The sequence below is a fragment of the Homo sapiens genome, chromosome 10 (assembly GCF_000001405.40).
Source record: "Homo sapiens chromosome 10, GRCh38.p14 Primary Assembly".
NCBI classification, from domain to species: Eukaryota; Metazoa; Chordata; class Mammalia; order Primates; family Hominidae; genus Homo; species Homo sapiens.
Window position 1 is genome coordinate 69,447,013 of NC_000010.11, and position 15,162 is coordinate 69,462,174.

At 50.3% G+C, this 15,162-nt stretch overlaps 1 protein-coding gene across 8 annotated transcripts in view, besides 7 other annotated features; it reads left to right on the forward strand.

The window, feature by feature from the left end:
* Window positions 1,037–1,538: an enhancer, noted in NCBI's record as "H3K4me1 hESC enhancer chr10:71207805-71208306 (GRCh37/hg19 assembly coordinates)". NCBI's record gives its function as "activates a minimal SCP1, AML or CMV promoter by ChIP-STARR-seq in primed H9 embryonic stem cells {active_cell/tissue: H9 hESC(primed)}" and the evidence as "EXISTENCE:reporter gene assay evidence [ECO:0000049][PMID:30033119]".
* Window positions 2,856–3,474: an enhancer, noted in NCBI's record as "H3K4me1 hESC enhancer chr10:71209624-71210242 (GRCh37/hg19 assembly coordinates)". NCBI's record gives its function as "activates a minimal SCP1, AML or CMV promoter by ChIP-STARR-seq in naive H9 embryonic stem cells {active_cell/tissue: H9 hESC(naive)}" and the evidence as "EXISTENCE:reporter gene assay evidence [ECO:0000049][PMID:30033119]".
* Window positions 3,475–4,092: an enhancer, noted in NCBI's record as "H3K4me1 hESC enhancer chr10:71210243-71210860 (GRCh37/hg19 assembly coordinates)". NCBI's record gives its function as "activates a minimal SCP1, AML or CMV promoter by ChIP-STARR-seq in naive H9 embryonic stem cells {active_cell/tissue: H9 hESC(naive)}" and the evidence as "EXISTENCE:reporter gene assay evidence [ECO:0000049][PMID:30033119]".
* Window positions 3,475–4,181: a biological region, named in NCBI's record as "H3K4me1 hESC enhancer GRCh37_chr10:71210243-71210860".
* Window positions 4,042–4,181: an enhancer, noted in NCBI's record as "active region_3491". NCBI's record gives its function as "activates an Ori minimal core promoter by ATAC-STARR-seq in GM12878 lymphoblastoid cells {active_cell/tissue: GM12878}" and the evidence as "EXISTENCE:reporter gene assay evidence [ECO:0000049][PMID:35858748]".
* Window positions 4,302–4,611: a silencer, noted in NCBI's record as "silent region_2434". NCBI's record gives its function as "represses an Ori minimal core promoter by ATAC-STARR-seq in GM12878 lymphoblastoid cells {active_cell/tissue: GM12878}" and the evidence as "EXISTENCE:reporter gene assay evidence [ECO:0000049][PMID:35858748]".
* Window positions 4,453–15,162, forward strand: part of TSPAN15 (tetraspanin 15) — a 98,044-nt gene continuing 87,334 nt past the window's right edge. For all 8 annotated transcript variants that reach the window (XR_001747072.2, XR_007061951.1, XR_007061952.1 and 5 more), the window contains exon 1: window positions 4,453–4,678. Coding sequence is in view for 4 of the 8 variants with exons in the window: in XM_017016010.2 (XP_016871499.1) it covers window positions 4,583–4,678 (96 nt within the window). In the remaining 4 variants the exon portion in view is untranslated. The remainder of the gene's footprint in view (window positions 4,679–15,162) is intronic.
* Window positions 4,973–5,473: an enhancer, noted in NCBI's record as "H3K4me1 hESC enhancer chr10:71211741-71212241 (GRCh37/hg19 assembly coordinates)". NCBI's record gives its function as "activates a minimal SCP1, AML or CMV promoter by ChIP-STARR-seq in naive H9 embryonic stem cells {active_cell/tissue: H9 hESC(naive)}" and the evidence as "EXISTENCE:reporter gene assay evidence [ECO:0000049][PMID:30033119]".

The following is a 15,162-nucleotide window of genomic DNA, read 5'->3' on the forward strand; positions in this document are numbered from 1 at the left end:
GTAATAGCCATTAAAGGCAAGGGTTAGTCATTTCCCCCTAAATCTCACTGTCAAGTTATCAAGAAAACAGATCTCAGGACGGATTCTGCTGCCCATACGAATGTCTATAAAACAAACATTTATTAGCTAGTAGCCACAAAATTGGTTCATACAACCTTTCTGTGAAACTCAAAAAGGCCCAGCTTTCTGTCCTTTTAGGAGCTCTTCCACCTTGCAAGAAGGGTCTGCTGGAGGAAAATACAATATTCTAAAGGCAGGACTCAGTTTGACTGATGGCTGCATTGGAATACTTTGAGACAGAAGCACTCTCAAGCCTTTAGCTCAGTGTATTATCCATAAGTGAGAATTAGCAGCTTCCCAAGATTCTTTGACACTGTTTGAACAAGGAATGGGTGGTGCCAAAACTATTTTAGCCAATCTAAATATCTTTAATACTGTTAATTTCTCCAAAGGAGACTCATTTCTAATACCTGTTATGCTAATTAATAAGCCCAGAATTTTACCAATCCATTCATTATGCTAATTAGAAAAGCCTTGGGGGTGGATTGAGATATGGATATTTGCATGGGATACTGAGTGATTGTTCCAGACTCTGCATGCCTCTGAACTCCCAAGTTCATTGAAGTGAAGTTGGTAACTTAAAATCAGACATGGTGGAAGTATTTACTTTATGGAAATTGGAATCCCCCACACCAGCTAGTTTTTAAATATTTACCAGTATATCAGTGGATAGCTGAGTAAGTGACTTCTGGAATGTGGCTTTCTGGTAAGATGTTGGCTGACAACCTTACCCTCATGACTACCTCTGTACCAGTGATGCTTAATTCTGGTTGCACTTTAGAAATTACCTGGGGGAGTCCAGACACAATGGCTCATGTCTGTAATCCTAGCACTTAGGGAGGCGGAGGTGGGCTGATGATTTGAGGTCAGGAGTTCAAGACCAGCCTGACCAACATGGTGAAACTTGTCTCTACTAAAATACAAAAATTAGCTGGGTGTGGTGGCGGGGGCCTGTAATGTCAGCTACTTGGTAGGCTGAGGCAGGAGAATCACTTGAACCTGTATAGCGGAGGTTGCAGTGAGTCAAGATCACGCCACTGCACTCCAGCCTGGGTGACAGAGCAAGACTGCCTCTCAAAAAAATAAAAATAAACATAAAAATGAGAAATTACCTGGGGAGTTTAAAAATAATACTGATTACCACGTTCCTGTTGGTGGGGATTTTGACTTGACTGCAGTGGGGCTTGAATATCAGGATACATTTAAAGCTTACCAGGTGCTTTTAGTCTGCAGCTAGGGTTGCATTCACACCTGTGTGTCACACTATGCCACACATTCTAACAGTCCTACAAAAAAGTAATGGCAAAACCAGGATTTGCACCAGGCCTGCTGGCCCCTAGGCCAGAGTTCCTGGCTAAAGGAGGAAAAGTGGGAAACAGATGGCCATTTCTTCTGAGGTCTCAGTGTTTGCAAATGTGGTTCAGGAGGAGCCCTAGTGCTTGGGGTCAGGGTCAGGATTGCAGGTGGGGAGGCACAGTGAAGAAGCCCAGCAGCCAGGGAAAGGCTGTGCCAGCCCCAAAGAGCTCCAAGGCTCTTTGTAGGGATGGCTCACCTCGAGGGCTTAGGGAGAGCTGAGAGGGCTTGCTAAGAAGCTTGTGTGTCACCAGGGAATATTTGAAAGATGAGAGAAAATGCAGCTGGCTGGAGAGGCCAGAAGGGAAGAATAGAAGTCCAGGGGCAACTGGGAAGGAAACCTGATGGAGGTGTGTGGCAGTTTCGACTGTAGTTTAAATATGGAGAATGAAAGGGAACTAGGAGGCTAAACTAGCCTTCCAGGGTATGAAGAGGGTTCCAAGCTTCTATGGGTGGGGAAGAGACTAGCACCTCAAATAATGGGTGTGGACTTAGCTCTGCAGGGCTGGGTGGAGGCTCTAGCCCTCAAAGAGGAATAAAAAGTTAGTCTTCCTCCTCAAAGGACAGAAAGGACAACTTTTTTTTTTTTTGGGGACCGAGTCTCGCTCTGTCATCCAGGCTGGAGTGCAGTGGCACGATCTTGACTCATTGCAACCTCTGCTATCCAGGTTCAAGTGATTCTCCTGCCTCAGCCTCCCGAGTAGCTGGGATTACAGGCACCCATCACCATGCCCGGCTAATTTTTGTATTTTTAGTAGAGCCAGGGTTTCACCATGTTGGCCAGGCTGATCTTGAGCTCCTGACCTCGAGTGATCCCCCTGCCTTGGCCTCCCAAAGTGTTGGGATTACAGGTGTGAGCCACCGCGCCCGGCCAGAATGGACAACTTTTAACACTATGGTAAGATGCCTTCTTGGCCCTCAGATAATCATTTGAGGGCAGCTTGCATTACTCTCTGGTTCTCTTTCCACCTTTTCTTTTCCCTGTTGTTTTTTTTTTGAGACAGGGTCTTGCTTTGTTGTCCAGGCTGGAGTGCCGTAGCACAATCATAGCTCACTGCAGCCTTGATCTTTTGGGCTCGAGAAGTGATACCCCCACCTCACCCTCCCAAGTAGCTGGGACTACAGGCACGAGACACCATGCTTGGCTAATTTTTTTGATTTTCAGTGGAGATGAGGTCTTGCTACGTTGCCCAGACTGGTCTGAAACTCCTGGACTCAAGCAAACCTCTCACCTTGGCCTCCCAAAGTGCAGGGATTACAGGCATGAGCCACTGTGCCTGGCTCTGGTTCTATTTCTCTACCCCACACAAACATCCTCCCAAGGTTTGTTTGTTTTGTACCAGGAAATTGGTTTCCTTTTACCCTTCCAGGCATGGCACTGCCTCCCTCCCCACCCCCCAATCTTGCTTTCTTCCTCCTAGGGCAGAGCTCTGGGGGCTAAAGCCAGCCTGGACTAAGTCTCTGAGTCTGTCCTTCTCTGTTGAGTTTGTGTATGCAGGAGCCCTGGGAACCCAGGACTGGGGACTTGTATAAGAGTGTCGTTCCTGAAATCACCACCAGGGACCCCACCCAGCACTGCTAGAGCTTATGACCTCTGCCATGGATTTAATTACTGAAGGCCACAGCAGGGATTGTCTGGCTCCCAAGTCCCAGGCTGAGCTAGGCTTGGGAGACAGGAAACAACAGTGAGTAAAGCTGGGACCATCTAGCATGAGAGACAGGCTCACAGCCACCTCTGGTCCCAGGCTGAGAAAAGGCCAGGTGGGAGGAGGCTGGGTTAGTGGCTGGCTATGTGCAAGAGAGGGAGCTGCCTCCCTCACCTATAGTTTCTGTTTGTTTGTTTTTTGTTTTTTTGAGATGGAGTCTCCCTTTGTCACCCAGGCTGGAGTGCAGTGGCGGGATCTCGGTTCACTGTAACTTCCGCCTCCCGGGTTCAAGCGATTCTCCTGCTTCAGCCTCCCCAGTAGCTGGGACTACAGGCATGCACCACCCTGCCCGGCTAATTTTTTTTGTATTTCTTAGTAGAGACAGGGTTTCACCACGTTGTCCAGGCTAGTCTCGAACTCCTGACCTCAAGTGATCCGCACGCCTTGGCCTCCCAAAGTGTTGGTATTACAGGCGTGAGCCACCGTGCCCGGCCTTGTTTTTGTTTTTGTTTTGGAGAGAGGGTCTCACTCTGTCTCCCAGGCTGGAGTGCACTGGCACAATCACGGCTCACTGCAGCCTTGACTTCCCTGACTCAAGCGATTCTCCCGCCTGTCTCCCAAGTAGCTGGGACAACAGGCGCGCCACCGTGCCTGGCTTTTTATTTTTTTTAATTATAGAGTCGGCGTTTTGCCATGTTGCCCAGGCTGGTCTTGAACTCCTGGGGCTCAAGCCATTCGCCCTCCTCAGCCTCCCAAAGTGCTGGGATTACAGGCGTGAGTCACCGCGCCAGGCCTTCAACCTAGTTTGAAGATGGGGTTTCCCGGGAGGAACCCTTCCCAAGGCTGGGTTATCACCTGGCAAAAGAAGGGGACTTCCGAGGTCGTTTGGTGAAGGCCTTCAGCAGATCTGTTTCACGAGCAAACTTCAGACTCCAGCTCCATGGGGGCCTATTAGCCCCACCCTGGTCTGCCTCCCTGAGCCTTCCTGAGCCGAGCAACTCCACTTCCTTATTCCATTCACGTTTAGCACACTCATTTGCACTTTCAACACCTGGGCGATTAATTCTTGCCCTTTTCCCAAAGTTTTCCCTCTTGACAAGAGGAAAGCTTGCATTTCTATGTACCCCGATTAGGCACGCTCGCTCTCTCCTTAGAGCACCTCTGGTTCACCTCTCCCACGCCCCCTGCATTAGCACAGGCGTTTCCAGAGTTGCACGCGAGCTCATTTGCAAGACCGTCTCCCCCTCCCATCCCTTCTTGGTCCCCTCTAGGGCCCAGGGCAGCAGCCCCGCCCCTGGCCCGCCCCCTCCCAGACGCTAGGCAGCCGCGGCCTCCCATTGGCCGCCAGGGCTGGCAGGCTTCCCGGCTGGGGCTGTGATTGCCGCGCTCCAGTGTCAGTCCCGGAGAGAACGCCGGTGGCGGGGCTGGTAGCCCGGCAGCCGCAGGTGGGGCCACGAGCGCTGGCTGAGGGACCGAGCCGGAGAGCCCCGGAGCCCCCGTAACCCGCGCGGGGAGCGCCCAGGATGCCGCGCGGGGACTCGGAGCAGGTGCGCTACTGCGCGCGCTTCTCCTACCTCTGGCTCAAGTTTTCACTTATCATCTATTCCACCGTGTTCTGGGTGAGTGACCCCAGTAGGGCCCGGGGATGGGGGTGGGGACCCACAATCCGGCCGCCCCCTCACTGGCCCGGGGTTGGGTCCACACTTAGCCGCTCCAGGGAGTGCGCGGGTGAGCGCGCGCGGACTCCTTGTCTTTCTACCTCACATTCGGGCGGCCAGAGCTCAGCCTGAATTTTCAGCCGCCCTTTCGGGAGTGTGAGAGCCGGTTGTCGACCGACCGAGTGCCACCTGGCTCACCTGTGTGCACCGGCTGGGCGGTTTGCCCGCTGTGCGTCCGCTGGCCGGCTGGCTAGGCTGAGGTGAACGCGCTGGCCGCGCCCACCACGCCTACCCGGTAGGACTGACTGCCTCTGCATCGGCCTGTGGAGCTTAAGTAGTTAGGATTTGCAGTCGGGGTTGGGAGACCTGGATTCCGGGTCTGGTCCCTGCTAGTTACTTGCTGATGCCCCTGAGCGAGACGCTTCCCCGCTCCGTCTTGGTTTCCTCTTTGGTGGATGCACGTGCCTCCTGCGTGGCGAGGAGAAGTCCACCAGACGACGTCTCCTGCACACCTAGGTGCTCAGTTTCCGCTGTCGCTGGGCTTTACCTCCTCCTCTGCCTTGTTAGGGGGCAGGATGGTAGTGTTTAGACATGAACCAAGCTTTGAATTCCGTCGCTCCGAGTGGTCTTTTATTTTATATTTTATTTTTTATTTAAAACATTGCTAATCTCTGTATCGTTCCAATTTCAGTTTGTGCGTTTCTGAAATGAGCACTTGCTGAGTGATCTTGGGGAAGTTACTTCATTCCTCTCGGCCATGGTTTCCTCATCTGTAAATGGACACAGTAATTATATTCAACTTGTAGGATGCTCGCGGAGATTACGTGAAATAGGCCGGGTATGGTGCCTAGTGAAGAGCTCAAGAAGTGTGAGACATTATTACTATCGTGGGCAGGGAATTTGGACACCTGTGGTGTAAGCTGCCCCAAGAGATTGGGTTTCTGTAAGGGCGTTTCATATTAGGCTGGGCCCTATTCTAGAGATGAGGATATCTTCCTATAGGCCAGCTCCGCCCCTGTCACTCCAGAATCGCTCTCTGCCTGCAGTATGCCACAAGAGCAGACTTGCCCAGGGACCCAGGGTGGTCACTGACACCCCATTCCCACCAAATACACACACTCTCCCCTGGTGTCCTCCTTAGCCCCTTGCTGGGTCTCTTCTGCTAGCAGGAGCTGCTGGATTTGCCATCAGGACTGGCTTTCCCTGTGACCCCTTTGTGGGTGGGGCCTTGCCTGGTAATCGGAGATCCAGATTCAGCTCTGTTACTGACTTATGGATATCTTAGGCAAGTCACTTTCCTGTTTTGGGCCTCAGAACTGTTCATTGACTTTTCCATCTAGAAGACTAGTCTGAGGCCAGTTTCCAATCCAATTCTCTGACTCTAGGTAATGTGGAGGAGAGATGAACAGTATGTTTGGGGGGCGGAGGATGGAGCAAGGACCTGTTGGTGGAAGCTCTAGGGAGACAGAAGGTCATATGTGGGATGGGAGTGGGGGTGATTTGAGCTATAAATCAGCGGTTGCATCAGATTCTTGTGCCCTGGCATAGGTATTTATTTAAATTTACATAAGCTTAATTGTAGTAAATTACTTACTAGAATTAAGGTAATTCTAGTGTGCAGTCAGTATTGAAAACTGCTGCCCTAGATGGTCTCATAGGTCCCCTAAGTCCCCAGGATTTCTGTGCCTGCCCCTTGTGTGTTCTGTGAGCCCTTCTCTCTGTAAATCAGAGTTGAAAGAGCCTAAGGTTGATGGGTGGGGAGGTAGGAAGATGGAGTTGTATTTTGGGCTTCACCCCTTCCCCAGATATATAATCACAAACCAGTCTCTCTACCTCCTCACGTTTCCATTTTCTCATCTATAAAATGAATAAGTGAATCTCTGCCCTGTACCTCACTGAATTGTTTTAGGATTAGTGATATGGGGAAAGAGTGACATATGAGCAAAATCAGTGCAGTACAAACATACCTCATGCAGTTAAATAAAACTGAACTCTAATTTTTAAGGCTTTGTTCTGTCACTGTCCTTTGCAGCCCCCAGAGAAGCCCACCCAATGGCCCTTGCCTTGCTTCTCTTGGGCAGGGTGGTTCTCAGAACTTGGAATCCCTCCTCTGCCAACTGAGGTTGCCTTACCAAATCCTTAACTCCCATCCCTGGAAGTATTTCTGTTTAAAAGTCTCTACACCCATGCCAAGAACTCAGCCACCTGCCAACTCTGCCAGAGCAGCTCCAGGTGCCAGAGTTTGACTGCAGGGCAGGGCCCAGTGTGAGTAAGTAATCTGTCCTGGACCAGGTTTACTGTTATTTGGAAACCATTTACAGGAAAGCCTATTATCTCTGGTGCCATCTCTGGTGCCATCTCTGGGGTTGAGGGAAGGGTTACTTGCTTTGTAAGTCCAAACTGCTAGCAATTTGCATCTCAGTTTTTAGGTCTGGAGGGCCATAAGTTTTATGACAGCCTTGTACCTTCTGTAAGACTTTTTGCTTACTTTAAAAATTACTACTGGGGCCGGGCCCGGTGGCTCATGCTTGTAATCCCAGCATTTTGGGAGACTGAGGCGGGAGGATCACCCGAGGTCTGGAGTTTGAGACCAGCCTGGCTAACATGGTGAAACCTCATCTCTACTAAAAATACAAAAATTAGCCAGGCGTGGTGGTGTGTGCCTGTAATCCCAGCTACTCGGGAGGCTGAAGCATGAGAATTGTTTGAACCCAGGAGGTGGAGGTTGCAGTGAGCTGACATCGTGCCACGGCACTGTAGTTGGGTGACAGTGTAAGACTCGGTTTAAAAAAAAAAATTACTATTGACCAGGCATTGTGGCTCATGCCTGTAATCCTAGCACTTTGGAAGGCCAAGATGGGCAGATTGCTTGAACCTGGGAGTTCGAGACCAGCCTGGGCAACATGATGAAACTCTGTCTCTACTAAAAATACAAAAATTAGCTGGGCGTGGTGGCATGCACCTGTAGTCACAGCTACTTGGGAGGCTGAGGTAGGAGGATCACCTGAGCTCAGGAGACGGAGGTTGAAGTGAGTTGAGATTGTGCCACTGCACTCCAGCCTGCATGAGACTCTGTTGCAGAAAATAAAAAATAAAAAATAAATTACTACTGATAGAAATGCATGCATGGGCTTGTTACAAAATTTAGAAGTAGAAAAGGGTAAGGCCGGGTGAGGTGTAATCCCAGCACTTTGGGAGGCTGAGGCGGGCGGATCGTGAGGTTAAGAGATCAAGACCGTCCTGGCCAACATGGCGGAACCCCGTCTTTACTAAAAATACAAAAATTAGCTGGGTATGGTGGCGTGTGCCTGTAGTTTCAGCTACAGCGAGGGCTGAGGTGGAGAAACGCTAGAACCCGGGAAGCGGAGGTTGCAGTGAGCCTAGATAGCGCCACTGCATTCCAGCCTGGTGACAGTCTCAAAAAAAAAAAAAAAAAAAAGGAAAGGGTAGTGGTTAGTGACAAGCCTCCCCTCCTACCCCTCTCTCCTGGCCTGCCCAGTCCAGAGGAGGCCTTTGTTATCAGTTTCCTGTCACTCTTTTCTGAGCTATCGTAGTCAAAGGATGTCCTAGGACAAACATATGTATATTTAAAATAAGGTAGCACACTATACACAGAACTACGTATGTAGCCCCTCTTTCACTTAAATTTAAATCCACGTGAATTATGGAGATCTGCTAGGAGCTGCCTCATTCTGTGTGTTGGCTACATAGATTCCACTCTAGGCTATGCCACATTTATTTAATAGTCCCCAGCTGGGGAACTCTTAGGTTGTTCCCAGTCTTTCTTTCCCTCTCTTTCTTTCTCTTTCTTTCTTTCTTCTCTCTCTCTCTTTCTTTCTTTCTCTTTTCTTTCTTTCTTTCTCTTTCTTTCTTTCTTTCTCTCTCTCTCTCTCTCTCCCCCCCCCGTCTCTTTCTTTCTTCCTTTCTTTCTTTCACTGAGAACAGTGACACAGTGAGTATCTCTGAATGTGTCATTTTGCATGGGTGTATATGTCTGTGGAGTAATTCTAGGAGTGGGGTTGTTGAGTTAAGGGGTATATGAATATATGTTATACATGCAGACACGCACCTGCCATCAGTATATACAGCTTGATGAGTTTTCACAAAGTGAACACACCTGTACACTGAGCCCCCAGGTCAACCAGCAGAATGGACAGCAGAAGGCAGATACCCCTCAAACCCTCTTCTAGGCACTATCTCTTACCTTTGTGGGTGATCACCACTGGATTATCTAGCAGTATAGAATAGCTTTGCCTGTTTTTGTATGTGCATTTAACATTTTGATGTTATTAAATTGTCCTATATAGAGGTGACACCAATTGTAATATTATTTACTTAATATGTTTATTTAAATTTACTTACTTTTTTTTTTTTTTGAGACAGAGCCTCGCTCTTTCACCTAGACTGGAGTACAATGGTGTGATCTTGGCTCACTGCAGCCTCTGCCTTCCAGGCTCAAGCGATTCTCCTGCCTCAGCCTCCCGAGTAGCTAGGACTACAGGCGCCTACTACCACGATGGGCTAATTTTTGTATTTTTGGTAGAGACGGGGTTCTACCATGTTGACCAGACTGTCTCGACCTCCTGACCTTAAATGATCCACCAGCCTGGGCCTCCCAAAGTGCTGGGATTACAGGCGTGAGTCACTGTGTCCAGCCTAAACTTCCTTTTTAAACTTAAATTTCTTTTCCTTTTTTTCCCTTTTTTAAAGTATATATTTTTTATTTTCCAGGCACATAGGTTCAAGTTGCCCTGAATATGCACGCCTTTAAATTTATTTTTAAAAGGAGGCTTTATATCAGTATTATGAATGGGAAACCAAGACGCCCATCATAAATAGCAGGTAAAGGTTTAAAATAAGTACAGTACAGGGAAAACAAAACAATGATACTAAATCCTAGCTGGATGTCATGGGTGCTGAAGGCTGTGACCCTGACGCCTACCCTCTCTGTTCAAAAGGTAGGTTGGCAAGTGCTTGAGGGGCTGAAAGACAAACTAGCACCCAAACTGAGACCCGCTCCTTGATGCAATCGGAGGGGTCGAAAGGGCATTGAACGAGGAAAGCTCAGTCTGTAAGTCCCTATGATAGGTATACCCCTAAACCACTTATGGTTATCTGTCCCACACTCAGGGCCCTCTTGTTTTCGGCAGGGAACTTTGGGGCTGCAAAAGGGTGTGTTTGAGGCTCACTTGTCAGAGCTGGCATGTACCCCAGGTCCCTGCATCCTCAGGTAGGTGCTCCTTGGCCCTTCCAGTAAGTCATGGGGATGTCTGCGGGAGAAATGAGCTCACGCTGAGGCACTTAGAGCCTCCTTTTCCCACCACACAGGGTGAATCATTCTGACACATGCGCCCTCAGCCCATTGGGGACACACCTCTAATTTTAGCACTGCCCACGGGGTATCTTAGAGATCCGTTTACAGGACTGCTTTTCCTTGCTGGACTGTGGGCTCCCAGAGGTCAGGATTGTAGTTCATCCATATCCTCCTCTGAATGCTGCCCCTGGGGCCTGTGCACACAGTAGGTGCTCAGGGGAGGCATGTTGCATGATGGTGATTGAGTCCCACTTGTACCTACAAGGCGAGGATCCAGCTTGGGGCAGAGGCCTGGCTGGGGGTGTAACCCGCAGTGGTCAGGTCTGCTGAGGCCTTGACTTTGCAAAGTGGGCAGGGCTGATCATGGTGCTACGGACTCTCCACAGAGCACCAAGCCTGTTTCCTTGATAACAGGGTAGGACTTTCAAGTGGGTAAAGGTGTCATGGCTGGGGAGTGTTGACTAATCAGGAAGAAAAGGACTTGGTGGGAGTTGGGGGCAAGTAGGGAGGAGCTGAGGGTGGGTAGGTGGTGGAGGCAGCAAATGCCAGAGGCAATAGGAACTCTTTCTGGGCTTTCTCCAAGGATGAACCTGCTTATTAGAGCTTGGCCTGTGATTTCTTACATTTCTTATAGTTTAATGGTTAAGAGTGTGGGCTGTGTACCAGGTTGCCTGGGTTCAAATCCCAGCTCTGACACTTAAAGGTTAAGTGGCCTAGACATAACTTCCATGCACCTAACCTACCTGAAGAGTTGCTAAGCAGATTAGATGGATTAATACATCTGAAGAGCTTAGAGTGGTGCCTGGCACATGATGAACACTCCATCAACTAGTCATGGATTAGTCGTTCTTTTCCTGCCTTCCTCTCTAGCCTTGCTGCTCAAGAGCCATAGACTAAGAATGAGAAGGGCTGTTAAAGACACCTCTAGTGCAGCCTTTTAAATTTACCGATAAGAAATCAGAGGCCTGAAGAGAAGTGAGTTGCCTGAAAGCCCACAGCAAGTCAGTGACAGGCCAAGACCAGATCCAGGCTGCCTGACTCCAGTTTCTTCCTCGGGCCCCCATGACCTTTCCAGGCGCCATGTATGTTTCTCCCTGGTCTCAGGGTGAGGGTAGAAGATAACCTTTCTGAAAGAGGCCACGTCCCTGGCCTCCCAGTGAAGCACTAGGTGAAGCCAGGCCAAAAAGAAAGCACTTCTCTGGAGACAGTTTCCAGGAGATTTTTACTTTCGAGAAGAGCTTTATTATTTTTGTGAAAATCATACATGCGCATAGCTTAAAAGATTCAAGCCATTTGGGAAAGTACAACGAAAACAGCAAAAGTCCCCTTTGATTCTACCACTGGGATTCAGCCACTGTTATATGTTGGTAAACATCCATCTGGACATCTTGTACATATATGTAGACATTTTATTTCTTTAATTATCTTTCTTATTGTGTTTGATTTGTCGAGCAAAGTTCATTTTCTGGCTCTAGGTAAGCATTCCAAATAGTGAAACTCAAATAGTGAAGCTGAAAGTGGGGCAGCCTTCATATTGGAGAAGTGGCCAGCCGTGCCTAACGGGCTGTCAGAGATGATCTCATAGCATCAGACTGGGCTCAGGCCTCGGGCACAGAGAGGTCCTCCCCTCCCCCAGTCTGGCCACAGAGCCTTTAAAATCCAGAGAATCAGGGCTGCAGCCCTGCCAGGGGTTTGGAGAACCTTCCAACACCTTCATTTTATAGATGAGCAAACTAAGGCCCTGAGAAGTGTCCTTCGCTCTTAACCTAGACTTTGTACATGGTCTCGTTCCCCGCTTTAATAGAGGAATTGCTTTATGTCGTAGGACTGGACCTTGCTGCCTTTGGGTTGGTTCCTGGAGAAGCAGGAATAACCACCTGCCCTCCTGCCCGGAGGCCTTTCTTCCCAGGTGACTCACAGTGCCACCCTGGGGTGGGGCTCACGGTCAACCTGATAAGGGACTGATAATGAAATTTCTGTACCAACTGGCTCCACACAGGGGAAAGATGTTTTCTGGGTAAGTCTGGTCAGAAGAGGTTGATGGGGGGAAAACAAAACAGACAAAAAAAAAAAAAAAAAAAACAACAACAAAACAACCTTTCCCAGAGAGAACTTTTAGATGTGAATGGGTTTGAATTGACTTCTTGTTGGAAGGCAGGAGCATTCAGTCTTAACCAGCCGTGCTCTCTGGTTGGTTGGTTTGTTCATTAAGTCAACAAATAGTTATTTGATGCCTACTGAATGCCAGGCACTGTGATACCGTGATAGGTGTGGGAAGCAACTATGAACAAGACAGGTTTAGTCCAGGCCTTGGAAGACAGAGCAGTAAATAAATATCACTTGTGATAGGTGCTAAGGAGAAAATTAGGGAGCAAGTGGGGAGGGATGGGCGTTTCCACTTTCGATGATGTGGTCAGGGAAAGCCTTTATGAGGAGCTGACATTTCAGCTGAAGCTCAAATAGAGAAGGAGCCAGCCATAAAGACTTGTCCAGAGCATCCCAGGCAGAGAGAGCCATGAGTTCAAAGTCCCTGAGGCAGGTCGCAAGCATGGCTACAGCAGATGAGGAAGCCCGGGAAGGGCTGCGCTGTGGGTGGAGAGGGTGGCAGGGGCCTGGCTGTGTGAAGAGTTTGGGGTTCGAGTGACTGAGAAGCAGGGTTTCATTGTCAGGCCCTGTGGTCTTGCCATCCAGAGACCTAGATCAGGTGTTGGCTATTCTGTGTGACACTGGGTAAAGGACCAGCTCTCTGAGCCTCCGAGATGCCTCCTCTGTGGGTACCCCAGAGGGCAGTGGGGAGGATCCTGTGAGATGAGAGGTGCCAAAGCACGGGGCCTACTCTAGGGTCCCCCACCCACGGAGGGAGGGAGACTCTAGGCACCCCCCCCCCACGAATGGAGGGAGACTCTAGGGCTCCCTGCCCACGGAGGGAGGGAGAGTCACCTGGGAGCCTTGCATTGCTCAGGGGTAGTTGGGGAGATGAGATGAGATGAGATGAGATGAGATGAGATGAGATGAGATGAGATGAGAACCTCTGGAATCCGTCTTGTCAGAGGAGGCTCCTTTGCCCCTGGGGGTACTCAGCCTGCCTAGAACAGATGGCTATGGAACCAACTCCTCCAGCCAGCTGGTCTGACCCCTAGGGTGTGCATGTGGTCTTTTCCAGAGGCTGGGCCCCTCCCACCCCTTAGTTTCTGGGCTACCATGGCACACTGTCAGAAGCACTAGGCCACAACAGGCACGCGGGGCCAGGCAGGCCGTCTGAGAAGTGTCCTGCTAGGCTCTGAGGGGTCCCAGCCCTCGGTCAGCATGAGTTGTTCAGCTCCAAGCTAGGCCCCTGGGCTGGTGGAGGTGAGGAAGAGACACCGTAGAGACACTGTAGACTTACGATGTCACCTTCCCCAGCTAGAGGGTTGGCCTGTGAAGGAGCTGGCAGCCATCTCTGCCTCTGGCGATGTGCCATGTTAGCCCAGGAACTAAGGGGTGGGAAGGGCCCAGTCCCTGGAAAAGACCACATGCACGCCCAAGGGGTCAGACCAGCTGGCTGGAGGAGCTGGTTCCATCAAGGGCCAGTCTGAGCTAGGCTGCCTGACTGTGGTGGCCTGACCACCACATTTTGCTTCATCTCTTTGGATTCTCAGAGTGACCCTTGAGCTGGGCTGGACAGGGGGTCTTGTCCTGTTTTACAGAGGAGTCTTTGGGAGGACTCTGAGGGCTTCACTGGGCAGGGAGGCCTCGCAGAGAGGAGTGGAGATGAGTCTTAGGAGAGGGAGGGCGGGCTACAGAATGTTTTTTGGGCCTGAGTGTTGAGGTCAGAAATGTCCTCTGGGAAGACCAGGTCTGGAGGCCAAGCAGAGCTGAGGAGGATGAGCACTTCTTGGTTGGCGGGTGAGGAGAAGGTCCATGTGACAAGTCATGGACAACTCTCTGTGCCTTGGTTTTCTTGTCTGCTGGGAGGGGATAACTGTTGTGCTGCCCACAGGGGTGAGGCTTAGATGAGGCAGTGCCCACAGAGCGCTGAGTGGGCATCTGGCTGGGTAACCGTTCATGCAGATGCTGGGAGGAGACGCCGTCTGCCACGTGTCTCACCACAGTTTGCTTCATCTCTTTGCATTCTCAGAATGACCCCATGTGCCTTGTCCCATTTTATAGAGGAGGAGACTAAGGCCCTGAGCGGGGAAGTAACTTGTGTGAGAACCATCATTTGCATGTGTTCCTGGGACAAGAACTGTTTCACTGTGGGAAAGGTTACTGTTGGGTTTTAATTTTTTCCAAAAGGGACTTTCTCGCCAAGACATTTGCATCTGGGCCTGCAGGGAAGCAAGTATTTCACTGGAGGGTGGAAGGAAAACAGCCTTGGCCCAGATGGGCTTGTTTTTCCCTCTTCAGAGCCCTCCCACTTCCTGCCTGGGAGAGCAGGAACCCCCTACTCCTGGGGCCACTGGAAGTCCCTCTCAGGATGTTGCCTGTGACCTTGTATGAGTGACACAGGCTGTTTCCCATCTCCTACCAGAGGGTTGGCCATGCTGACCTCTCCGGCTGTGCTGGGTGCAGTGTGGGGAGACTGTGGGGGTGCTTGGGGTCAGAGTGTTCATTTCTGGGCACTCACTGTGTGCCAGGTGCTGGGTGCAGGCATGGGCACAGTGTGGCTGGTGGTGGGCTGAGGCCAGCCTCTGGCCCACCCTGTGGCAGATTGGGACCATCCCCTGGGTGCAGTAGGGTTGGGGTGCTGGCTGCCGAGGCTGCACAGGATTCTGAGACTAGGTCACTTCCCAGAGTCAAAAGACAGGAACTTCTTGGCCAGTGGACCTTGACTTCATGGCTCAAGGCCTCCTACCCTGGGAGGATTTCACAAGAACACATGTCCACCACCCCCCCGCCACCACCCCCCCCATCACCAGAGCTTCTGATTCAGTGGGTCTGGTCTAGGCCCAGGCACCCGTAATTAAAAAAAAAAAATTATAATGACAGGGTCTTGCTCTGTCACCCAGAGCAAGTGGTCCAATCATGGCTCACTGTGGCCTTGACCTCCTGGGCTCAAGTGATCCTCCCACCTCAGCCTCCTGAGTAGCTAGAACCACAGGCATGTGCCACCATACCTGGCTAATTTTAAAGTTTTTTTTTTTTTTTTTTT